Source organism: Homo sapiens, chromosome 11, assembly GCF_000001405.40.
Source record: "Homo sapiens chromosome 11, GRCh38.p14 Primary Assembly".
NCBI lineage: Eukaryota > Metazoa > Chordata > Mammalia > Primates > Hominidae > Homo > Homo sapiens.
The window spans coordinates 72,424,700-72,450,561 of NC_000011.10; the positions used below are offsets into that span (position 1 = coordinate 72,424,700).

At 45.6% G+C, this 25,862-nt stretch overlaps 1 protein-coding gene across 8 annotated transcripts in view, besides 3 other annotated features; it reads right to left on the minus strand.

Moving 5' to 3' along the window:
• Window positions 1-9,832, minus strand: part of CLPB (ClpB family mitochondrial disaggregase) — a 149,037-nt gene extending 139,205 nt beyond the window's left edge. For all 8 annotated transcript variants that reach the window (NM_001258393.3, XM_005274320.2, NM_001258392.3 and 5 more), the window contains exons 1-2: window positions 9,373-9,832; window positions 5,613-5,664 (exon numbers count right to left, since the gene is read on the minus strand). In NM_001258393.3, coding sequence (NP_001245322.1) covers window positions 5,613-5,664; window positions 9,373-9,775 — 455 coding nt within the window. In that variant the 5' untranslated portion in view covers window positions 9,776-9,832. The remainder of the gene's footprint in view (window positions 1-5,612; window positions 5,665-9,372) is intronic.
• Window positions 9,454-9,913: an enhancer, noted in NCBI's record as "active region_5191". NCBI's record gives its function as "activates an Ori minimal core promoter by ATAC-STARR-seq in GM12878 lymphoblastoid cells {active_cell/tissue: GM12878}" and the evidence as "EXISTENCE:reporter gene assay evidence [ECO:0000049][PMID:35858748]".
• Window positions 9,977-10,783: an enhancer, noted in NCBI's record as "H3K27ac hESC enhancer chr11:72145720-72146526 (GRCh37/hg19 assembly coordinates)". NCBI's record gives its function as "activates a minimal SCP1, AML or CMV promoter by ChIP-STARR-seq in naive H9 embryonic stem cells {active_cell/tissue: H9 hESC(naive)}" and the evidence as "EXISTENCE:reporter gene assay evidence [ECO:0000049][PMID:30033119]".
• Window positions 12,195-12,244: a silencer, noted in NCBI's record as "silent region_3719". NCBI's record gives its function as "represses an Ori minimal core promoter by ATAC-STARR-seq in GM12878 lymphoblastoid cells {active_cell/tissue: GM12878}" and the evidence as "EXISTENCE:reporter gene assay evidence [ECO:0000049][PMID:35858748]".

Genomic DNA, 25,862 nt, shown 5'->3' on the forward strand with positions numbered 1-25,862 from the left:
CATGGTGAAACCCTGTCTCTTTGTAAAATACAAAAAATTAGCCGGGCGCGTTGGCGGGCACCTGTAGTCCCAGCTACTCGGGAGGCTGAGGCAGGAGAATGGCATGAACCCGGGTGGCGGAGTTTGCAGTGAGCCGAGATCGCACCACCGCACTCCAACCTGGGGGACAGAATGAGACTCCGTCTCAAAAAAAACAAAACAAAACAAAAAAAAACACAAAAAAAAACTTAGCCAGGTGTGGTGGCATGCACCTCTAATTCCAGCTACTCGGGAAGCTGACGTATGAATATCACTTGAACTCAAGAGGCGCAGGTTGCAGTGAGCCGAGATCGTGCCACTGCACTCCAGCTTGGGTGACGGACTGAGATTCTGTCTCAAAAACAACAAAAAAGTGTCTCTTGTTTTTCCCTTTAAAAACACACTTGCAACTGTTGCTAATCTGGAGCATATATTTATGGCAACTTGAATCTAGACTCTTGGGTTGCAGTCCTCAAACTTGGCCCCAGTAAACTCTTTCTACTAATTTTACAGTTGCATAATTAGTTATCTGACTCCTAGTTAGACTGTGCCAAGAGGGCAGGGACTGTGCCAATCTTGTTCGTTACTGTTAACTGCCACATTCAGCCCAATGCCTAGCTCTGAATATGCACTCGTAAGTATTGGCTGAATGAATTAATCATTTTGTTATTAGTAATAATGACTCTGCCACTCTGTGGGGTTAGTTATTATCATCTTCATGTTAGTTGGAAGGTAGGTAATTTGTTCCTTGTTTCACTGGCTCTCAATGTTTGACTCATGTCCTTCTTCCTCACCAGAGGGCACACGAGCTCCTCTAGGGCAGGGACTGTTTCTCCTTCCTCATTTTGTTGCCACAAATTCAGCTCAGGGCTAGGCACAAAGCACAGGCTGGACAGATGGGCGACTGAGGGACAAACGGAGAGTCAATCAATGTTCTCCACGACCAGGTCGCTACCTGTCTCCAGTCCCTCCTGGCCTCAGACTGTGATCCAGCAACACCGAACAGCAAGTGACTTCCCCTCTGCATACCCCCCAGGCTGCTCCTTGCCTTATGCTACCACATATGCTGCCCTTTTTGCCTGGAATGGCTTCCCCTTCTATTTACAAAGTCCAACTGATATTTTAAGTCTATGATCAGGTGCCATTTCCTCTGGAAGTCTTTCTCAGATCCTCCAGGCTGTTTGTCCTCTGGTCTCCTGCAGCCCCTGTAGTTTCCTGTCTCACAGCACTGACCACCCTATTGCCACAGTTTACCCCGACTCTGTCATCATGGGCAGGAACCATGACTGCTTAAGTGTTCCCTGTGCCAAGCAGAGGACTCAGGATATGGCAGATGCTGTTTGTCAAATGAATAAATAAATCCTGGAGAAAAAGGGCAGGCAGTCTGAGGCCCAAGACTGATCTTGCCAGGCTTCCTTTATTAGAGACTGCTTGGGCTGATGAACAACTGAGGTAAGCACTCAGCAGAGGCCTAGCCCCCTGCTGGGAGAAGGGAGATGGGTAGGGGTGTTGTCTTTCACCCACTTTGTGCTGAAGGAAATGTGATCTCCACCGGGAGAACAGGAGGCCTCACTTTTCCCAGTCCCAGTCCTGACAACTCCTCACATGGCTTGGCCTGAGCCTGGACAGATGTGCCTCTAGTCTGCCTTGTGCCCTAGGTTTCGGGTGAGCAGTTCCTCAGGCTCAAGTTTGGGGTAAGCCCAGGAGCAGGACCACCTGCTCACACTGCTGACAGGTAGGAGGCCAGGCTTCCACTTCTGAGGAACCAGAGATGGATGAACTTAAGTGCCTCAGGGGAGAAGGGAGGAAATGGATGTCACACAGGAAGGGAGGGAGGGAGGGAGCGAGGGAGGGAGGAAAGAGAAGAGACCTGGCCTCCCTCTGATATAGCCAAGGGGAGTGTGAAAGCCTCTGGACTGCTTACTTCAGGTACACTGAAAAGTCAATAAAAAGCAAAGAAAGAGTCACAAAAAACAAGTAAGTGCCGCTGTGCTGTGGAACAGGGTAAAAGACGGTAGAGAACACAACCTTGTCCCTGCCCTTCAGGAGGTGCACAATCCAGCAGTTTCAGATGAAATATAGCCCACAGACTTCTTCATATAAAGAACAGTGTGGCAAGTGGCATTCAGCTCTACTTCTCCAACCTGACCTCCAGCTTCTCTTCCACAAAAGGAGCTCCCTCCTGTGACAAGCTGCCATGGTCCTTTCTAGATCACCCTCATACCCTCCCAGACCAGAAGGCAGGTGTAGGATCAGAGTGGGGGGAAGAGGCAAAGGAAGATGAGATCACACCCAGCTGGGAGGAATCCAAGAAGGCTCTGTAAGGAAAGCAGCACTAGAGCTTTGAAAGGTGTAAGCAGAGGATAATGAATACAGATGGCAGAGGGCCATCTGTGGAGGACCCACATCCAGGGCCCATGGACTGAAGATTCCAGGGTGTCCTTAAAGAGGAGGATCGAATACCTCCCCCTGGGAGCAGAAGAGCATTAGGCTGCTGCCCTTCACTATCCAGAACTTTCCCAAGACTCTGGGGCTAAGGACAGGAGCTGGGGGAGGTCAAGTAGAGGCAGACACAGTACAGAGCCCCAGAGAGGTCAAGTGGGGAAGAAGGGTAAAGCACGACATTATTTACGAGGTCTGAGTTTTGCTCTAAATACTGATATTATTGACCATATCAATCATATACACAGTGACCCAACCATGTGTAACCTACAGTCATGCGCTACACAATGATGTGTTTGTTAACGATAGACTGCATGTATGAGGTGGTCTTATAAGATTATAATGAAGCTGAAAAATTCCTATCCTCTTGTGACGTTGTAACTGTCTCAACATCATAGTGCAACAAATGACCTTTTCTGTATTTAGGTATGTCTAGATACATAAATACTTACCATTATGTTACAATTGCCTACAGTATTCAGGGCAATAACGTGCTATACAGATTCCTAGCCTAGGAGCAACAGGCTATACCATATAGATTAGGTGTGTGGTAGGCTATTACCATTTAGGTTTGGGTAAGTATACTCTATGATGTTCACACTGTGATGAAATTGCACTACTCAGAATGTGTCCCTATTGTTAAGCAAGGCATGACTGTATGTGTAAATTCAAAGAAATAAATGAGTATGGGATTCTGTCCTGCTATAGGCAGGTCTGTTGGGCAGAGCTAAGAGCCCAGGACATTGAAGAAGAAATAAAGAGCAGCATGAACCACCTGTACAGAGTCTAGGGTACAGAAAGGCTGAATAAGGACCTACTGTAGGAATTCCAGAAAGTTTCCTTCTAGCAAGGATGGTCAGGCTCCCTTTACCCCCACTGCCCCCAGACCTGGCTCTGTTCGCAGGAAGAACTATAACTGGTGGGTTACATGTCTGTTTCCTTGAGACCAGGGCCTGGGTCACCATCCCCATCCCCCATCTGCAGTGCCCAGCAGAGGCCCACTCACTCTTTCATAATCAAGAGCTGCTTTGGGTGAGGGGGAGGGAAGGATGTCCTCATTCAGGCCCTCATCATCTTGAATCTGTCTTTACTGAAACAGAAACAGCCTCTTAACAGATCGGCCCTCAGCCTTTTCCCAATGCAGTCCATCCTTCACTCCTCTGCAAGTCAGCCTTAACTGGGTCATTCCCCTGCTCAAAAACTTCCCACGTCTCCCCACTGTGTACAGAGTAAGAGTTCAAAACTCCTCACCCTGGGCATGGCAGGCCTTGCACATTCCAGCTTCTCTCAGACAACCTTCCCTCTTTTCTGACACCCTGTACAAATCCCACCTCAGGAGCATCAACATATTCCGCAGGCCCAGCAGCCAGCCAGCATCTGCTTCCCGCCTTTGCTTAGCTTGCTCCTGGCTCTGTGGTCTTGTATGAGATGGGGGCTGAGGGCAGGTCTGTGCCTCGCTCATCTCTGATGTCCTCACATGGAGTGAAGGGAGATTCTGACAGGGTCATCCTGACCAAGTGAGGTGGGACAAGAGGAGGCAGGAGAAAAGCAGGCTAGAGCCTGGGGACACACATGAAAAGCCCCCCCAGACACTATCCACACGAGAATGAATGTTCAGAAAAATTGTCTGAATCACACATACACCGTTAAGTTCAATTACTTTCTGTATTTTTGGGATGGGTGTTTAATTGCTATTAGAAAAACATGTATTTGAAAGAACTAAATAATCAATGCCTGGCAGCTCAATGGAATATGGTAGTGGCATCCCCTGGGGGATGGAAGAGTGGATTCCCAACATTGCTGCTCTGCAAATGCCCTGCCAAAAGGGGAAAGTCGCAGCCCGGCAGCCCTTCGCAGTAGCCAACAGGTGATTCCAGGGTCAGCAAGGGTCAGTTTCCATACCCGTACTCCTGTACTGCAGCAGAATGAAGCAAAGCACATCTGTTTCTGGAGGAATGAAGATGCCACACACAGCCTGCAGTTATGAATGGCTCTTATAACAACAGGATGACATCTGTGCTTGGTTTTTAAGATGCATCATCGCATGTTTATTAAACTATTGCTCCAACATATTTATTTGGCTACAAAACAACTCCCAGCCCATATTTCCAAAAGTGGTTTATTAAAAACTAAGGCTTGAACATTAATACCCAAAAGCACCCTTGAGAATCAATAATAATGCTGCAGATAAAATGAAAGGGAATCAAAGCAGTAAGTCTTGGTGGGGTGGGCTGCTTTTCAACACTTTCTTGTATGTTCAGGAAGCTAAGGTGGGGAAGAACACCAAGGGCCTGTGGCACTGGGTGTGGAAATAGCCACCCCAACACCTGACTTCCTGTCTAACATGCAGACATGATGGCAAGGAAGGGGGGTGTCCTATGGCCACCTAGCTCTATATAAATGGCCAAGAGAGGCCAAGGTTAGGCCCAGTGGGGGGCATAGTTTCAACAAGAATAAGACCTCTGCCCTTAACCAACAGCCCTGTAACTGATGCCCCATGCTGGCCCCAGTCTGAGCATCCATCCTGGACACAGACTCTGCCCTATACCTGGCACTGGGCTGAGCCGAGTTGAATCTTGCCCTTGCCAAATAATAAGCCTCAAATTCAACCTGCCAGTGGTCACTGGAGACTAGCTGAGCCAGTGAAGCTACAGAAATGCAGTCTGTCCCCGGGCAAAGCCAGGTATGGGCCCCTGGCCCTGCAGGCAGGCATTTCTAGCCCCAGACCTTCTGGCAGATGGTCTCTTCCAGCTCTGTCCCAAATCCCCAAGCCTTTCCATAGATGCCGACCTGCAACCTGTCCAGGCAGCAAGCAGTAATACATGGCCATTCCCAAAGAAATGAGCACAAATCAGAAGATTCAGAGAAGAACCCAAAGGATATGGGGGCTGAAGGGAGTCCAAACCAACCCAGTGAAGAACAAAATAGCTGAAGGATCCAGGGATGTTTGGGAGCTGACTCCCTACCGAAAATATCCAAGGGGTGATCTGGGTAAAGGAAGCCCAGGTGACTCTGTGACTACAGAGATGTCACAGGGGACAGTTCCCAGCTTAGGGTAAGGATTTCCTCCAAAGCAAAGTCATCACACGAGAAGAGGCTCGCCCTGCTCAGCCTCTCCTGTAGGGGAGAGCAAGGCCTGGGGTTCAACTCACCTGCTGACTTCTTGCATATTGTTGGCACGGGCAGCTTCCAACAGGGCTGCATCTGAAGAGAAAGGGGGCACTGGTCAGATCCGCGGCCAGGACATACCCATCTCAGGACTGCGTGGAGGGCCCACTAAGACAGTGGCAGTACTTTAGAAACGTGGACTTTGACAAGCAAACTGATGTCACAATATATAATGAGAAACGAATCATTCCCTCCCCACATGGTGTCCACTGTTAACAACCTGACTTCCACACCTTTCTACTACAGAGCCCAAACTCTTCACTCCTCTCATCATAGAGGGAATGCAGGTCAACTGCTAGCACCACGTCTTGCCTATGGTAAATAATGTGCTCTTCATAATCTATGAAGCTCTGCATATGCTTTATGTTCCTATAAGAGTTATTACTAAAGATTCCCTGATCTTGTCCACTTTCTCCCTCAACTCCAGTTCTTCAACCCAGTTCTGAATCTTGATGTCAAGTCATAAACCCAAAAGGAAAGGTAGAATGGAGAGGAGCAAGCAGGGTGTAGGCCTCTCTGAGGATGGAGAGGTCTCAACTAGGAGTCTTTGAGATCTAGCTCCATTCCACTCCCACTACTCACCACGTGACCATGACAGCTCCTCTCTCTCTCAACCACAGCTTTCCTGACTGTAAAACATAGACAAAACTCCTTGCCCTGCCAGCTTCACAAGGATGTCAAGGAGATGAAATGACAGTTGAGACGTCTGCAAACTCCCCAGTGCTGAGCCCAGGGAAGGGAGACCCAAAGCAGAGGAGACACTAAGCCTAGGAGAAAAGCAACGCTAGCTAAGTGCGTCTGGCCTGGTCTGGGCAGCCTGCAGGCTGTTGCCACCACCTTGTGGCCATAAAGAAAATTGGACTGACTCAGAAAAACTCAAAAGTCAACAGGAGAGGCACAATCTTTTCAAATAGCTCAATACCAGGTACATGGAGCCCTCTGTGCCCAGCCTGGTTCTGAGCTACACTGCTGGGCAGTGGGCGGATTCATAGCCAGCCCTGACTCAGGGAACTCTCAGTCCAGCCAAAAGACTCACTCATGAGCAAATGCACTGGAGTAGAGTGAAAGAGCAGGATCTGGAGACAGTCAGACCTGGGGTCTAGCCCAGCTCTGTCGCTTATTTGCTGTATAACCTAGCCCACCTATCTAACCTCCTGAGCCTTAGTTTCCTTATCTGTACAATACACCTTATCATGCATATGAAAGCCAGTCCTGTGGTTCAGACATTGATGCCTCCTGGCCTAGATTCCAGGGACAGGTCCTTTCTACTTACCTTACCGGATGTACCTAAAGCACATACCCAAGCATGGCTCAGACAGCCACCAGCTGGGAGGGGATCAAGCCTTCCTTAGAGATGGCTATATCCACTCTCCCTTCACTCTGCAGAAAAAAATGTGGCTTCTACAAGGTTACAGAGTGAGGAATGAGCTAAGAACCAGGGCCTCCTGGCTTCTAAAAGGGTTCAGTTTCTACCACACTGCACTGAGGGTCAAAACTCTAAGTCAGGGGACAGGGTAGCTGGCAAGTCAGTTCCAGCAGGAACTGGTCACGGCTTTGACCATTATCTATTTTGGTAAATAGACCCTGGTATTCTTGCTGGAGTTCATAGGCCATAAAGTCCAGTTGGGAACCCCCAGGAACTTCTTAGGCAAGACCTCACCAAATACACTGGACTCAGAACATTCCCTGCTCATGAACCTTCCATAACTCTCCACTGCCTACAGAAGAAATTCCAACACCCTCACCTACCCCACCCCTGACTGGCATCCAGGCCCCACTCCATCTGCTCTCATCTAATTCCAAAGACCTTATCCTCCAACCAAGCTGGCTGCTCTGCTGGCCCCTGCACACACCATGGTGCCCCGAAACTGTTATTTCCATTCCCTGAAGCCTTTGCATGGAATATAATCCAACTCTCACACATTTACTGAGCACCTACTAAGTTCCAGACACTGTGGTGGGCAAATGATGTCTAGGTATTCGGGAAAGTTGCTAGTATAACCTGAAAAAACAAAAGAGAAGATACATTTCCTGCTCTCATGGGGCTCAAAAGATCACTCCCCTTTCCGTTTCTACTTCATCCTTCAGAACTCAAGTTCAAATTTCCCATCCTCTGGGGTCTCCAATACTCCAGAAAGGCTTTCCTGACCCTACTGGCCCTCTGATCCCCCAACGACACATAGCACCACTCACCAGCCCTACATTCCAACTGCCTGCACTGTCCCCTTGACTGATTTTGTGTTAAGTTAGGACTTCCCACACACCTAGCCTAAAACTAGACACACAGTGGGTACCCCCAAAAATGCTGGAAGTTATAGGATTACAACATGCCTAAGCTCGATGCCCTTAGTGTCTATTTCAAAACCCTCATTTTGTAGATGAGGAAACAGAGGACCCGTGAGGAGAAGCAAAAGTCCAAATTCACAATGAGAGTTAGACACAGAACCAAAACAAGATCCCCAGTGTTGTCTCTCCCAGACCAAAGTCCTTCCTTTACAATTGGCCACATCAAACGAATCAAAGTCAAGGCACTCCCTACTCCCCAACTCTTGCTCCAAATTCTCAGAGCTTGGGGTGCATGGAATCTATGGACACCATGCCTCAGTCTTTCTTCTTGAGGAACAACTAAGAACCTGAATGGCTGGACTCACATAGGTCATCAGTCTGGCTCTCTGTCCACTCTCTCAGCTGCTGCTTAGCTCCCCGGATCCAAATGAGATGCTAATCGGGATCAGCCAGTCCCCCAGCAGTTGCCCTTGGGCCTCCAGGAATCCACCTTCCTTCTCCTGCCAACTATCCCACATGGCAAGATCACCTCACAGCATGTGAGACCAGACACAGCAAAATCCTGAGACTGACAGACTCAGGCCGCTGAACTCCAAAAAGAGTCAAAATAACAGTACTGTAAAAATGTTGGGAAACTATCCTTCACTATATAAATAAAGAAATTGGTCAGACGCGGTGGCTCACGCCTGTAATCCCAGTACTTTGGGAGGCCAAGGCGGGTGGATCAGGAGGTCAAGAGATCGAGACCATCCTGACCAACAACTAAAAATACAAAAATTAGCTGGGTGTGGTGGCCCGCACCTGTAGTCCCAGCTACTTGGGAGGCTAAGGCAGGAGAATAGCTTGAACCCGGGAGGCGGAGGTTGCAGTGGGCCGAGATTGCGCCACTGCACTCCAGCTTGGCGACAGAGCAAGACTCCATCTCAGAAATAAATAAATAAATAAATAAATAAATAAATAAATAAATAAATAAATAAATTGAGGTCAAGCTGGCATTAGAACCGAGTCAGGTTGTTCCTGACTCTGGCACCTTTGGTGGCGGGGGGTAGGGGGGAGCGGTTTGGCAACTTCTCTAAACCATCTGGCGGTTGCCCTTAAAACACCCCATAATTTCCGTTTCCTGGAGATCTCAGGAAAGAGGAATTGGACCAGGCAGAATATGAGAAACATAAGGGGACCATGCTATAATATTAGATGTTTAGTCCAATATCCCCATTGTACAGATGGATAAAATGATGCCCAGAGAGGGGAAGCGGATCTATGGTACGAGATTATACAACTCCGAGGTGATGAGGTCTCTAGGGCAACACCCTGCCCCTGTAACCAGATGATGTCTGAGTCCCTCCAAGACTTAGGCTCTAAGGATCTAAACCTATAAGTACCTCCCACCCTCCTAAGATACGAAGTTAGGACAATCTTCCCGCCTCTCCCTTCCTCAAACCCAGATCTCATAATCACCCTTGTTGGACGGACTCTTGCTGTAGCAATGAACCACCAGCGCTGCGGCCAGGGCGCACATGCCCAGTCCGGCCCTGCTGGGGACCCCGTTCCAGCTGTCCTGTCCTGGGAGTGTTTCTTCGGGACCAGGAAGGCGTCCCCAAGTGGCAGCCGCGAGGCATTTGGTATCGAAGCGTCCTCCCTGGCGCCCCCCGGTGGCTGCCCCACGTCCGGAGAACAAGGCCGGCGATGTTCCAGGGCGCCCCCCGGTGGCTACCCTCAGCCACTGCGGCTCCCCGAGACTCCCAGTAGTCACATTCCGGCCGGAAGCACCTCCATGGCCCCGGAGCGTTGGGGACCTGAGCAGCCGGAGGAGTAGCCGTGGCGCCAGTGCTTTTCTCCTCAACACCAGGGACCCCAGCATCTTGACAGCTGCTTCGATAACCCCGTGGTGCCGGCCCCTGTGCTGACCACGTCCAACATGGCTGCCGCGGCGCGTTCGAAGACGCCGCGAACAGGGTGGAGTTGCGCACTACCTCACGGGAGAGGTAGTCCACAGCCCTAAGCCTTTCCCCAGCTGGAGAATAAATAAACTACGTTTCCCAGAAGGCTGTGGGATTGCGTCACAATGACTGCGGGATTATAGAAGCCCGGGGCATATTGGGAAATAGAGTTCGGGTGAAGGGGCGTGGCGATTAGAGTTAAAGATTAGAATCCCAAGACTTCTTTCCTAGTTTAGTTGAAGCACACGACACACTTTTTTTTTTTTTTTTTTTTTGAGACGGAGTCTCGCTCTGTCTCACAGGCCGGAGTGCCGTGGCGCGATCTCGGCTCACTGCAACCTTCGTCTCCTGTGTTCAAGCAATTCTCCTACCTCAGTCTCCCGAGTAGCTGGGATTACAGGCGCCCGCCACCATGCCCAGCTAATTTTTGTATTTTTAGTGGAAACGGGGTTTCACCACGTTGGCCAGGCTGGTCTCTAACTCCTGACCTCAGGCGATCCGCCCGCCTCGGCCTCCCAAAATGCTGGGGTTACAAGCGTGAGCCACCGCGCCCGGCCCACAATTTTTGACTGGTGTAAATTACCCAAGAATCTTCAGCAGAGGCATATTATGAAACTTATGCTTATTTAGTTTAGCCTATCTCTTTTTTCAGCCTGGGCGGCCTTTCAAAAAGATGTTTAGGGTAACTACTGCACCTGAGATAGGAATACATTTTATTTGAAGAGTTGACTTCCGGTCTTTTTTTTTTTTTTTTTTTTGAGACAGAATCTCACTCTGCCGCCCAAACTGGAGTGCAGTGGCGCCATCTCGGCTCACTGCAACCTCCGTCTCCCTGGTCCAAGCGATTCTCCCACCTCAGCCTACCGAGTAGCTGGGATTACAGGCACGCACCACCACGCTTGGCTAATTTTTGTATTTTTAGTAGTAGAGACGGGGTTTCACCATGTTGGCCAGGCTGGTCTCCAACTCCTGACCTCAAGCGACCCACCTGCCTCAGCCTCCCTAAGTACTGGGATTACTGGCGTGAGCCACTGCGCCTGGCCCTGATTGTGTTATTTTTAAAGGGCTTTCAAGTGGGTCATCTCATCTGATCCTCATGGCAGCTGTGTGTGAGAAGCTGGGCAAGAACTGTTATTCCCGTCTACAGTGAAGGGAATTGAGGCTCAAAGGTGAAAAGATTTGCCAGTAAATCACCTGGAGTAAAGTAATGCTCAGGTCTTCTGATTTTGAGCATATAGTTTCCATTAACACCTGCACTCCCATCCCGCCCCCTCTTTTCCAAACTGAACCCATAGGTAGGCAAAGGAGGAAGTTCTTCTTTGTGCCAGTTCTGTTTCTTCCAAGTCTTGTACGTCTGCTCAGACTTCACATGATCAGAGTCTTCCCTGACCATTCTGGTTAAAATAGTAATCCTACGCACCCCATCCTAATTTTCCTTCACAGCATTTATCACCATCTGACATACTACATTTTTATTGTCTTTCTCCACTACAGCATGAGCCCCATGAGACAAGGACTTTGTTTTTTCACTTTTATATCACTAGCACTCAGAACAATGTCTGGAACAAAAGAGGCACTCAGTTTTTTTATTTTTATGTATTTATTTATTTATTGAAGCAGAGTCTTGCTCTGTCGCCCAGGCTGCAGTGCAGTGGCACGATCTCAGCTCACTGCAAGCTCAGCCTCCTGTGTTCACGCCATTCTTCTGCCTCAGCCTCCCGAGTAGCTGGGACTACAGGCTCCCGCCACCATGCTCGGCTAATTTTTTTGTATTTTTAGTAGAGACGGGGTTTCACTGTATTAGTCAGGATGGTCTCGATCTCCTGACCTCGTGATCCACCTGCCTCGGCCTCCTAAAGTGCTGGGATTACAGGTGTGAGCCACCGCGCCCGGCCTGAGGCACTCAAATATTTTTTTCAGTGAATGGATTACTCTCACCTTATTAGTGTTGGAGAGTACTTGAGCTTTGGCATTCAGGCAGACGTGGATTTTAATTTTGACTCTTGCATTTATATGGGTGACCTTGGACAAACTCCCTTTACCTCTCTGGTAGTTAATTACTCATTGTTGAAGATATCAATTCCTGCCTTCAAGATGATTGCTTGTATTAAATAAGATAATATGTAGAAAGCCCCTAACACTGTCCCTGGCTCACAGTAGGTCTTCAAGAAATGGTAGCTATCATTGTATATTCTCTGCTCTGTGTATTCTACACTTCCTCCAGGCAAAGATGGAACTTCTCATTTCCACATCCGTTAGTAAGACAGGAATGAATGAGCGACTTTTTTGGTTTTTTTTGAGACAGGGTCACGCTCTGTTACACAGGCTGGAGTACAGTTGTTACTGCAACCTGAAACCTCCTGGGCTCAAGGGATCATCCCACCACCTCAGCCTCCTGAGTAGCTGGGACCACAGCTGGCACCACTACACCTAGCTAATTTTTTGTTATTATTATTATTATTATTATTTGGGTAGAGACTAGGTCTCGCTATGATGCCCAAGCTGGTCTGAACTCCTGGGCTCAAGCAGTCCTCCTGCCTCAGCCTCCTAAAGTGCTGGGATTACAGGCGTGAGCCACTGCGCCTGGCTTTAATAACTTTTTTTTTTTTTTGAGATGGAGTTTTGCTCTTGTTGCCCAGGCTGGAGTGCAATGGCGCGATCTTGACTCACCGCAACCTCCGCCTCCCAGGTTCAAGCGCTTTTCTTGCCTCAGCCTCCCGAGTAGCTAGGATTACAGGCATGTGTCACCACACCTGGCTAATTTTTTTTGTATTTTTAGTAGAGACGGGGTTTTACATGTTGGTCAGGCTGGTCTCAAACTCCCAACCTCAGATGATCCACCTGCCTTGGCCTCCCAGAGTGCTGGGATTACAGGCGTGAGCCACCGTGCCCAGCCTTGAATAACTATTTTTAAATCATTTTTAAAGCACTCAATAATGAAAGCATTTTGACCTTTCTGTTTTGAGAGATTTTCAGCACATATTATTTTGTTAACCACCCCATTCACTATAGCAACTTCACCTTCCCTGTATTCTTGAAACATTTCTGTCTCCCAACTTAGGGTGGTCACAGCAGGAAGAGCAGTCTCCGAAAGCTCCCATTACCAGATGCAGAGTTCAAACCCTCTCACTGCAGACACATCCCAGGGCCCTTCAGTTTACTTAGCAATGCATAATTTTCAAAGCACTTCCCCATTGATTTTCTTATTTTATTTTCACAGATACCATCTGCGAGGGGTTCAAGGAAGGGTTTAATTACTATCAGTATTTGGTAGGGATACTGAAAAGCTTAAATTATCAATCTCTGAGTGGGGGATGTAGTGAGGAAGTATGGAAACACCCATTAGGGTCGTGTGTGCTTGCTCACGTGCCTGTAATCCCAACACTTGGGGCAGGAGTTTGAGACCAGCCTGGGCAACATGGTGAGATCACAGTCTCTGCAAAAAATAAAAAATTAGCCAGGCATGGGGGTGTACACCTGTAGTTCTAGCTACTCAGGAGGCTGTGGCAGGAGGATCCCCACACTACTGCACTTCAGTCTAGGCAACAGAGTGAGACCCTGTCTCCAAAAAAAAGAAAAATAAACTAAAATTAAAACAAACAAAAAAACCCCACCCATTAGAATCAGCTGGGACTCAGAGTGAATTCTGTATGGTCAATAACCAATCCAGGGCCAGGCACAGTGGCTAATGCCTATAATCCCAGCACTTTGGGAGGCCGAGTTGGAAGGATCATTTGAGGTCAGGAGTTCGAGACCAGCCTGGCTAACATGGTGAAACCCCGTCTCTACTAAAGATCCAAAAAATTAGCTGGGCGTGGTGGCACACGCCTGTAATCCCAGCTACTCAGGAGGCTGAGGCAGGAGAATTACTTGAACCCAGGAGGCGGAGGTTGCAGTGAGCCAAGATCGCGCCATTGCACTCCAGCCTGGGCGACGGGGCGACTCCGTCTCAAAAAACAAACAAACACACAAAAAACTCTTAGGTCACATTTTAACAGATTTTCAACGCAGGATGGCTTCCTTTTGGTCTGCTCAGAAAGCAAAAATTTATATCAGGTTCCAATGACCCCACCTTGGCCCTAAGCTTCTAACTGTTGGGTTGGGAGAGAGAGAACTCCAGTTTTAGTTTGTAGGAAGGTGACTGGGGGATATCTGAATGGGGTTTAGGAGGAGACAGAAAGTGAAGAATCAATGCAGTTGCTGTGGTCAGCTGCCTCTGGCATGGAGTTGGAGGCCATTTGGTGCTACACATTCTATAGGTTTCTGAGAAAAACTTTTCCAGAAAAAGAAAACAAAACAACAACACACACACACATTTTTAAACAAATAAGTAAATAGATAGTAGCTGGGCTTTTCACTGTTGGAGAAAGAAGTTATAAATAGGGAAAAAAAGAAAGCTAAAATGAACCTTGTGGTATTGAATTGGAATCAGATGTATCAGCATAAACTCATGGCTTTAATTTTATTTTTACTTTATTTATTTTTGAGACGGAGTCTTGCTCTGTCATCCAGGCTGGAATGCAGTGGCGCGATCTTGGTCACTGCAGCCTCCGTCTCCCAGGTTCAAGTGATTCTCCTGCCTCAGCCTCCTGAGTAGCTGGGATTACAGCAATGTACCACCGCCCAGCTAACTTTTGTATTTTTAGTAGAGACAGGGTTTCGCCATGTTGGCCAGACTGGTCTCGAACCAGCCTGATTGGTCTCAATTGGTTATTGACCATATGGTTTTGCCACGTTGGCCAGGCTGGTCACAAACTCCTGACCTCAAATGATCTGCCTGTCTCAGCCTCCCAAAGTGCTAGGATTACAGGTTAGAGCCACCATGCCCAGCTGTAAAACTCATGGTTTTTAAAAATAGATACAGACAGATCAATACAGAAATATAAATATGTAAGTATGTATGGGTTCGTGTATTACATATATTACCTAGCCTCTGGGAGGGTCTAGAAGCAATTACACCCTAAAAATTGAACACACCTAACACCCAGACATAAACAGCATTCTCCAATAACCCAGAAACCAGTTACCCTTGGAGAATGGTTGTTTTCAGGACTGGGCAGAGAAAATCCAAAATGAGTCAACAACATCGTATGTGCCAGGAAGTTAGGAAAGGCTCAAAACCAGATGCAGGCTTGTGAAAAGAACACAGGAGCCAGTGTGAAGGAGTTCATAATGACCTAAGTAGGAACAATTTAACTGAAAAGTAATGACCATATGGGGTTTTGATCCACAGAGTAAAACAAATATGATATAAATAATCAAATAAATAAATAGATAAATAGGGGAGGAATGAGGGAAGAGGCAGCTTTCTTTCTTTCTTTTTTTTTGAGACGGAGTCTCGCTCTGTTGCCCAGGCTGGAGTGCAGTGGCGCGATCTCGGCTCACTGAAAGCTCTGCCTCCCGGGTTCACACCATTCTCCTGCCTCAGCCTCCAGCTGGGACTACAGGCGCCCGCCACCATGCCCGGCTAATTTTTTTTTTTGTTGTATTTTTAGTAGAGACGGGGTTTCACTGTGTTAGCCAGGATGGTCTCGATCTCCTGACCTTGTCATCTGCCCGCCTCGGCCTCCCAAAGTGCTGGGATTATAGGCGTGAACCACCACGCCTGGCCCGAGGCAGCTCTTTCTTACAGTGGAAGTTCAATCAATAAATGTAGAAGAAAGAGAGAAATAGAGAATTACCACTAGGCAGACACTGGAGTAATACAAATTTCAGGCTGGGCACAGTGACTCATGTAGTGACTAATGCCTGTAATCCCAGCACTTTGTGAGGCCAAGGCAGTAGGAGGATCACTCGAGGCCAGGAGTTTGAGACCAGCCTGGGCGACAAAGTGAGACCCTGTCTATACAAAAATATAAAATAAAAAAATTAGCAGAGCAGGGTGGCACACACCTGTTGTCCCAGCTACTTGGGAGGCCGAGGCGGAAGGATTGCTTGAGGCGAGGAGGTCAAGGCTGCAGCAAGCCTTCATCGCACCACAGTGCTCCAGCCTGGGTGACAGAGCAAGACCCTGTCTCTAAAAACATAAATAAAAATAAACATTTCAGGCAAGATCCATAGATGATACTAAAATTAGTGGGTGACAAGGAGGAGAAACAGAATTTATATAGTCTCAAAAGTACTTCCTGCAGCCGGGCACGGTGGCTCACGCCTGTAATCCCAGCACTTTGGGAGGCTGAGGCAGGTGGATCACAAGGTCAGGAGTTCAAGACCAGCCTGGCCAAGATGGTAAAACCCTGTCTCTACTAAAAATACAAAAATTAGCCAGGCGTGCTGGCAGGCGCCTGTAATCCCAGCTACTCGGAAGGCTGAGGCAGGAGAATCACTTGAACCCGGGGGGTGGAGGTTGCAGTGAGCCGAGATTGCGCCACTGCACTCCAGCCTGGGCAACAGAGTGAGACTTCCTCTCAAAAAAAAAAGTACTTCCTGCAAGATAATTATGAACTACAAAAACTTTACAGTGGGGAAAACCTGGCAGACACCAATTTAACTACATGATCAAAGGTAAATATCACCAGTAATAAGACATATACACAACAGACAAAATGAATCCCTTGATATGATGCACTGGGAAGAACACATCGTTTTTGTTCATTCTCATCAAGCATATATAACCTCATTCCAAACATGAGAAAACATCAGACAAACACATATTGAGGGATATTCTACAGATAACTGATTTATATTATTATTTGTATTAGTTTTCTATTGCTGCAAAACAAAGCACCATAAACTGAGCAGCTTAAAACAATTGCCATCTAATATCTCACAGTTTCTATGGGTCTGGAGTCTAGCATATTCTAACTATGCTCTGCTCTGGGTCTGAAATCAAGGTGTCGGCCAGCTGCATTCACATCTGGAGGCTCAATTAGGGAAAGGTAGTTTTTCTTTTTGTTTTTTGAGATGGAGTTTCACTCTTGTTGTCCAGGCTGGAGTGCAGTGGTGCAATCTGAGCTCACTGCAACCTCCACCTCCCAGGTTCAAATGATTCTGCTACCTCAGCTTCCCAAGTAGCTGGGATTACAGGTGCACGCCACCACACCCAGCTAATGTTTTTGTATTTTTAGTAGAGACAGGGTTTCACCATGTTGGACAGGTTGGTCTCGAACTTCTGACCTCAGGTGATCCACCCATCTTGGCCTCCCACAGTGCTGGGATTACAGGCATAAGCCACCATGCCCACCAGGCAAAGGTAGTTTTTCAAGCTGCCTTACACTGTTGGTTGAAATCATTTCCTAGCAGCTGTGGGACTGAGGCTGTATTGCTAGCCAGCAGCAGCTGAGAACCTCTCAGCTCCTGGAAAAAACTCTTGGGTCTTTGCCATGTAACCACTTCCTTAGATTCTCTCATACTTGCAAGCAAGCTTCTCTGACTTCAGGAAGGGCCTGGTTATTTTAAAGGGCTCACCTGATTAGATCAGGCCCACCCAGATAATCTCTCTTTTGATAAGTCAAAGTGAACCGATAAGTAATGTTATCACAGGAGTGATATCCCATCACATTCACAGGTTCTGCCTGTACTCAAGAGTGTATACAAGGTATGTACATTCAGCGGTGGAAACCTTAGGGATCATCTTAGAATTCTGCCTGTCACAGTACTCTGCAAAAGTGTCAAGGTCACGAAAGATAAGGAAAGACTGAGAAGCTGTTACAGACTGGGGATTGAGAAGAAATAAATACTAAATGCACTGTGTAATCATGGATAGGACCAGGGAACAGAAAAGGGACATTAGTGGGAAAATTGATGAATTTCAAATAAATTCTAAGGTTTAGTTAATGATATTGTATAAATGTTAATTTCCTGTTCTTGATCATTGTATTATGGTTATATAAGATGTTCACATTGGGGAAGTGGAGTGGAGGATATAAGAGAACTCTTTGGGCTGTGCATGGCGGCTCATGCCTATAATCCCAGCACTTTGGGAGGCCGAGGCCGGCGGATCACAAGGTCAGGAGATGGAGACCATCCTGGCTAACACAGTGAAACCCCCTCTCTACTAAAAAATACAAAAAATTAGCCGGGCATGGTGGTGGGCGCCTGTAGTCCCAGCTACTCGGGAGACTGAGGCAAGAGAATTGCTTGAACTGGGAGGCGGAGGTTGCAGTGAGCCGAGATCGTGCCACTATACTCCAGCCTGGGCGACAGAGCAAGACTCCGTCTCAAAAAAAAAAAAAAAGAATTCACTTTCTGCTGATCCTGCTGCATATTGCCATAGCACTGTCTTCAGGTCCACTCTTCTACAATTCTTCTTTGGAATAACTAAGACAAAATGATTTATTATTAATAATAACAGGAAGTTTTATTAAGTATTTTCTATGTTCCAGCCACTGTGCTGAGTAAGTGAACCACATCAATTATCTATATAAATGATCAGGTAAGTTTCTCCCAGGTTTGGTAGGCATGTTTTCCATGTGATCTCTCCAGTCAATGAAGGCACAATCCCTCAGTGATAGCAGGTAAACCACATCTGAGAAATCTTGGAGAAACTCATCTAAGCATTTTTCAAAAATAGAAGTTAACAGCTACTGAATATTGAGCATGTATTCTGAGTCTGGCATTGTGCTAATAAGCACTTTACATGAATAAACTCAATCCCTACATTAACACAAGTTAGAGACTAGTAGCATCACAGGCTTATGTTGAGTCAGAGCCCAAAGTCTTAGCCATTACACAACTTTTCCTAACGAAGGAACTTGTGTGTGTGTGTGTGTGTATGTGTGTGTGTAAAGTCTTCTGCATTACTTTTTCTCAAAAATATTGAACACTTTCCTTATTCACAAATAGAAGATAGTAAATACAATTTAATCTTTTCCTGATAAAGGTTATTGCTATCCTGATTTTTGTATCACATGATAGATGTAGAACTCTTAAGCACTAACTCAAATCATGCTCTGAAAATAAACAAATCTCTTAATTGCCTCCTTTTCTTGTCATCTGTTTCTTTCCCATAGAATCAAAGTGTAGCATGTGGCCTCTGGGCAGGGTAATATGTCCTCTTATTACATTAAAGATGAGAATTTAGTTTGTGATAAATCTGGCACTTTACGTAAGTGGGGAAAATATTAATTATTTAATAAACAGTGTTGGGACAACTAGGTGGCCAACTGGGGAAAAAATAAATTAGATTTGTCTCACCCCTTCACCAAAATAAATGCCAACTGAATCAAAAGACTTAAATGTGAAAAAGAAACAATAAACATGCCAGTAAGAAAACATGAAGTGATTTTTCAAAATAACTTTGGAGTAGGGAAGCTTTCTAAGCACGACACAAAATTCAGACCCACAATAGCAAAGACTGATGTATTTGACTCTACAAGTAATTATTCTGATTGAAAAATACCATGAACAGTAAAAAATGTAAATGATAATCTCGGAAGAATATATTCACACCACAATGATGGAGGGTTAAGTAATACAGAGAACTCTTATAAAATATGAAAAAGACCTACAATGCAGTAAGTGAACAAAGACAATGCCTCTGCTAGCTTATGCAGTGCCTCTGGGAAAAGTAAAGAAAGCAGCCATCTCAGGATGAATTAGAAAAAGGGGCCCCTAAGCAGTGTACATGTCCCAGGGAGCAGCATGCTGCCAGACTGCAGCCTCCACTTCTCCTATTGGTTTAGGCTTTTGAGTGGCACACGAACTGCATATCCAAACACAGCTGCCTGGGCAAAGGACTTGACCAAAGACCTCATGAGAAATGAAATATAAATCATATTTAAATATATGAAAATATGCTCAATACACCCATGACAAGAAACATACAAATTAAAACTATAGTGATCCATATCTTACAGCATATACAAAAATGAACTCAAAATGAATTATTGTCCTAAATGTAAAACCTAAGACTCCAAAATTTCTTGAAGAAAACATAGGAGAAAATCTTTGTGGCTTTGGATAAAGCAGATTTCTTAGATACAACATGAAAAACACAATGCATAAAAGAAAAAAAAAAAGATCAATTTGACTTCATCAACATTAGGAACTTTTGCTCCTCAAAAGCCACTGTTAAGAGAATGGATAAGCTGCAGAGTGGAGAAAATATTTGTAATTATACATCCAGTAAGGAACTTACATCAGAATATGAAAAGAATTCTCAAAACTCAATGATAAGAAAACCACCCAATTTTTATGTTGGAAAAAAGATTTGGAGAGATAACTTCTTACTGTCAAATAAGAACGCTAAAAAACACCCTCAATATCATTGCTCTTTAGAGAAATAAAAATTAAAACCATGAATTATATATGTATTAAAATGTCTAAGATTAAAAAGACTGGCCGTACCACATGACGATGTGGAGCAACTGGAACTCTCATATACTGCTGAAGGGGAATGTGAAATGGTACAACCACTTTTGAAAACAATTTGGCAGTTTCTTTAGAGGTTAAACAAGCATGTACCATATGATCCAGTCATTCCAACTTTTAGATTTATTATCCAAGGAAAACAAAAACATATGCTCACACAAAGACTTGTACATGAATGTTCATAGCAACTTTGTAAAAGCTACAAACTAAAAATATTACCAAAACACCAGGGGTTTGGTCTAGGTCCAGGGAGGGTCCTGCTTCTTCCATATACTAGAGGTTTGGTCTAGGTCAAGGGTTTGGTCTAGGTCAGGGGTGTGGCTTAGGTCAGGCCTGCTGCTCCCCTTTCTTGGTGCTACAGCCTAGAAGATGGGAGCTCAGTCTCAAATCCATCTCCCTGACTGATTAAAACTAGGGGTTTATACATCAGGGAAGAAATGTAACAATGTGTAAAAAAACAGGAACTAGGGAGGGGCAAAGGAAGCAATCATAATGAATGAGGGGTTGTCATCTGGTGCTGTGATCCATTGAGTTTCAGTTCTTTGATACTTTTTCCAGAGGCCTGAAGGTTGTTTCCTGAGGAAGGAACTCAGATAAAACAAATATAAATTTCAAGCTTTAAGATCAGGAGGGTCAATTTCTATGTTTATCAAAAAGAACCATCTTTGGGACTATTGGATTGGTTTCAAAAACAACCTAAACTTCTATCAATACATAAAAGGATAAACAAATTGTGGTATATCCATACAATGGAGTGTGACTCAGCAATAAAAAGGAACTATTGATATGCACAATGACATGGATGAACCTCAAGATATTAATGCTGAATGAAGCAAGTCAGTTCTACAAATAAATAAGCAAGCAAGCAAACACAGACTACACATTGTATTATCCAATTTTATAAGATTCTAGAAAATAAAAGCAAATACTGTATATAGTAACATAAAGCAGAACAGTGATTGCATGGGGATGATAGGATTACAGGGGTAGTGGGAGGAAGGGTTTACAAAGGGGCACAAGAAACTTTTGGAAGTGATGGATATAGTCATCTTGATTGTGGTGATGGTTTCAGAGGGGTACATATGTCAAAATTCATCAAATTTACACTTTAAACGTGAAATTTACTGTATGTCAGTTATACTTCAATAAAGCTGTTTCAAAAAGCTATAATGAGATATAGTTCACCTCAGACTGGCATATATACTGCATGTATTATTACGTATTATATATGTGTGTATATATATATATATATATATAAAAAAAACTGCGTGGCAAGTTTGTAAAGAAAAAACACTCATATTGTTGCTGGAAATGTAAATAGGTACAACTTCAATGGAGGGCTAATTGATAATATCAAAATATTGGAATTTAAAATCTAGATATACTTGCAGGTGTATAAAATGAGGAATGGTTTGAGATATTTGTAAGAGAAAGAGATGAGAAGCCATCTGAATGTCCATCACTGGGACATTGGTCAAATACATTAAAGCTAAACAATGGAATATTTTTTTAAACAGGGTAACACTGTTTTAATATGGAATGCACCGAGATATTTTAGGTACAAAAAAGTTCAAGGCGCAGAACAGTTGTATACAACCACTGGTGTTATTTGAAATATATATCTACTTGGCCAGGCGCAGTGGCTCATGCCTATAATCCCAGCACTTTGGGAGGCCGAGGCGGGCGGATCATGAGGTCAGGAGATCGAGACCATCCTGGCTAACACAGTGAAACCCCGTCTCTACTAAAAATACAAAAAAAAAACAAAAATTAGCCGGGCGTGGTGGCCGGTGCCTGTAGTCCCAGCTGCTCGGGAGGCTGAAGCAGGAGAATGGCATGAACCTGGGAGGTGGAGCTTGCAGTGAGCCGAGATCACGCCACTGCACTCCAGCCTGGGCTACAGAGCGAGACTCCGTCTCAACAAAAAAAAAAAAAAAAAAAAAAAAAAGAAATATACATCTACTTATGTGGTTTTATACCTAGGATATCCCTAGAAGGATATCCATCCCATGTGTATAATAAAAATTGTTGCCCATGGGTTGGGCAAAGTGGGGCTGGAGGAAAAGGGACAGAAGTAGGGAGGGAAGAAGAGTTTACTTTCCACTGTATACTTGAATTCTGTTCTATATGTACATATTACATATTCAATCCAATCAACCAATCCCTATTATTTCTATATCAATATTAACTTTAAACTACTTCTGCCATCAGGTAGAGGGAGTGCTTTTAATTTCATCCAGACTGCCACATTTTTTCTCAAGTAGAGACACTGACATCTTGTGGGCTTTTGGGATAATGCAGTGAAATAGCATTAAAATCAGCATATTCACCATTCCATTCCATTCCACTCCACTCCATTCTTCTCAACAAATTATTTGGCATTCAATGCCTATGCTGGGCTTTTGTCCAACTCTCTAAAGCTTACAAAGTTTCAATAATATTCAGCCTCATTTATTGAGCACCTGTAAGGCATGGGTTACTGAAACTGTAGTCATGAAGAAGCCATGGAGCTCTGGAGGGGCATGCAGACAATAGGCCATGTCAGCAGAGAGTGGTGAGTGCCACGATTGAGATAATTCTGGTGTCCCTGGGAGCACATAGCAAGCCGAGTGGTCAGAGAAGGCTTCCTGAAGGAAGTGACATCTAAGCTGAGCTCTGCAGGAGGAGCTAGAATTGACCAGACGAAAGGGATTACAGTAGCTGATGTAGGGTGGGGCACTTGGAGAATAGGGTCACTGTAGGTAAAGGGAACCCTACGGGCAAATGAGCAGAGGCAAGAGTGCAATTCTTTTTTTTTTTTTTTTTTTTTTTGGCAATGCATGTTTGAGGAACTGAGTGTTCAGTGTGGATTAAGTGTAGAGTGGGAGGGGCTAAGAGGGGATAATGAGGCTGAACCAGAGGGGTTAAGTAACTTACTAGGTTCTCCCAGCAAGTACTTAGTGCACCAAGAATTTGAACCCAGGGCTAAATGACTTAACCATTTTCTCTTATACTCATCATGAAGACTTTGCTCCACGAGCCTTTACTAGACCCCATGCCTACTGCCACTCTGCTTCTTCCAACTGGGCACAAAGCTTAGCCAACTGCTTTCCCTCTCTTGCTCCTTATTTCCCTCTCCTTCCTTCCTTCCACATTGCTTGTTTTCTGCAGCCTTGGTGCTAGGGAGAAGACAGAGAAGGCACTTTGGGTCAGGAGGTGATAATTCAGATCTCAGAGGAACTGTCCACTCTGCTCATGTTGATAGATAAAGCTGATAGATGAAAATGATTCCTGCATCAGAGCCTCTCTCCGTCTCTCCAGCTTAGTAGAGCAGGGTGGGGCCTGGGGTGGGGATGGTGGATGAGCCCTGGCATTGAAAGCTGCGTCTCTCGGTAGTAGCCCTCTGTCTGTTCATGGGCAAATAAATGTGTGTACGTGTTTACTGAGTGCTTACTATGAGCAAGACTCTGCTTTTGCTGCTTATGCTACATTAATTCCAACAACAATCCTATGAGGAAGAGATTCTCTCCACTTTACAGATTCAAAAAACCCAAAATGGAGCAGCCTTGCTAGTGAAGTATGCAGCATGTCAGTCTCAAAAAAAAAAAAAAAATATATGTATATATATATATATATAAAGGTTAAGTAATTTGGCCAGGGTCACCTAGCTTGTAAATGGCAAAAATGGGGCTCAAATGGTCTGAATCCAAAGCCCAGACTGTTTACCACTACAAAATCCCAGCTCCTAGGAAAAAACAAAGATCCACATGTGATAGATATCCTTGAAGTTTGCCTAAGGTATGGAGGAAGAGAAGAATTGAAAGTATAGTCAACACAGTGCTGAGCCAATATGATACATTCTGAGCTGTGATGTGTGCGAGGGTGCACTCTCACATAACTGAACCAAAGGCACAAACAAATGAAAGGGAGGAAGGAAAACTCCAGGCAGGAAGGAATTCCCAGATGCTCAGCTGCACAGATGGCTCTTCCTTGAGAGCTAATGGGATGACCACCATCACTCCTTTTCCAAGCTTGAAGGCTCCCAGTCTTTCTAACTGGACAGGCATAAGACAAACTCTTTTTTCTTCTTCATTCATCTGAGATATTGGACAGCCTTCAAATATAACCTTACTAGAATGCTGACAAAATAACAAAACCTTAAAAAGCAAAGGGACAAGTGTAATTCTAGAGCACATATTTTTGATAGAACGGCGAGTGAGTGAACTCTGGCCATAGATGTGCTGGCTGGGCCCTCTGGTGGGCAATGAAACTTCTACTCTTTCCTTTCCCTCCACCCCATATCTGTTTTGCTTGGATGATGGAGCAAGCTACTTTGTCTCCTGTCACAGGATGGGTTCTCTGGAAGCAGAAGCTGAGATAGAGCTGTGGGTGCAAGATGGTTATTAGGGATCAATATCTGTGAGGAGAAGCGGGAGGGAGCAGGATTGGGCAGAGGAAGAAACTGAACTGTGATGCAGACCTGGCCAAGGCTTGGTCAACTGTATTAGTCCATTCTCACGCTGCTATGAAGAAATACCCAAGACCGGGTAATTTTTTTTTTTTTTTTTTTTGAGACGGAGTCTCGCTCTGTTGCCCAGGCTAGAGTGCAGTGGCACGATCTCGGCTCACTGCAACCTCTGCCTCCCGGGTTCACGCCATTCTCCTGCCTCAGCCTCCGGAGTAGCTGGGACTACAGGCGCCTGCCACCATGCCCAGCTAATTTTTTTTTTTTTTTTTTTTTTAGTAGAGACGGGGTTTCACTGTCAAGATGGTCTCGATCTCCTGACCTCATGATCTGCCCGCCTCAGCCTCCCAAAGTGCTGGGATTACAGGCGTGAGCCATCGCGCCCAGCCAAGACTGGGTAATTTATAAAGGAAAGAGGTTTAATTGACTCACAGTTCCTCATTGCTGGGAAGCCCTCAGGAAACCTAATCATGGCAGGAGGGGAAGCAATCACGTCCTTCTTCACGTGACGGCAGGAGAGAGAAGAATGAGAACCGAGCAAAGGGGGAGCCCCTCATAAAAGCATCAGATATCATGAGAACTTACTATCACGAGAATAGCATGGGGGAAACTGCCCCCATGCTTCAATTACTTCCCATTGGGTCCCTCTCACGGCACGTGGGAATTATGGGAACTACAATTCAAGATGAGATTTGAGTGGCGACACAGCCAAACCATATCAACAACCCAGAGTTACTCCAGAGTATTGACTGTCGGAGCGGTTCTGCATCAGACTAAGTGGCTGAGCCTCTGTAACCCTTTTCCGTTCCCCTGACCTCCAACCTAGCTCAGTCACCAGCAAGGGCTGCTGAAGCAGACTCTGAAAGAGCTCACGGCAACAGTCTGTCTGCTGACTACATTCTCTAAGCCTGGGCAGCAAGTGTTTCCTTGAAGACTGATGTGAGCAGTACATGTCTATGACCACCAACATTTTTAACATTGTTCATTCGCTGATTGATTATTCAATGTGTTGGGTGCTAGCCACCATGTTGGGTGCTAGGGGACAGAAGAGGATACAGGGATGAAGCACAAGTGGATCCCACCCTCAAGTTTGGCCTAGTGGGGGACTCGGATCACTATGGATTAGGGCAGTGAATTCAGAAGGCAGGAGAATACCTAGACAGGGTCATTGCTCCTACTTAGGCAACCTCTGCTCGGGGTCCCTCTCAGTAGAACTTTTCCAAAAAAAGTAGTTCACATTTGGCCGGGTGCAG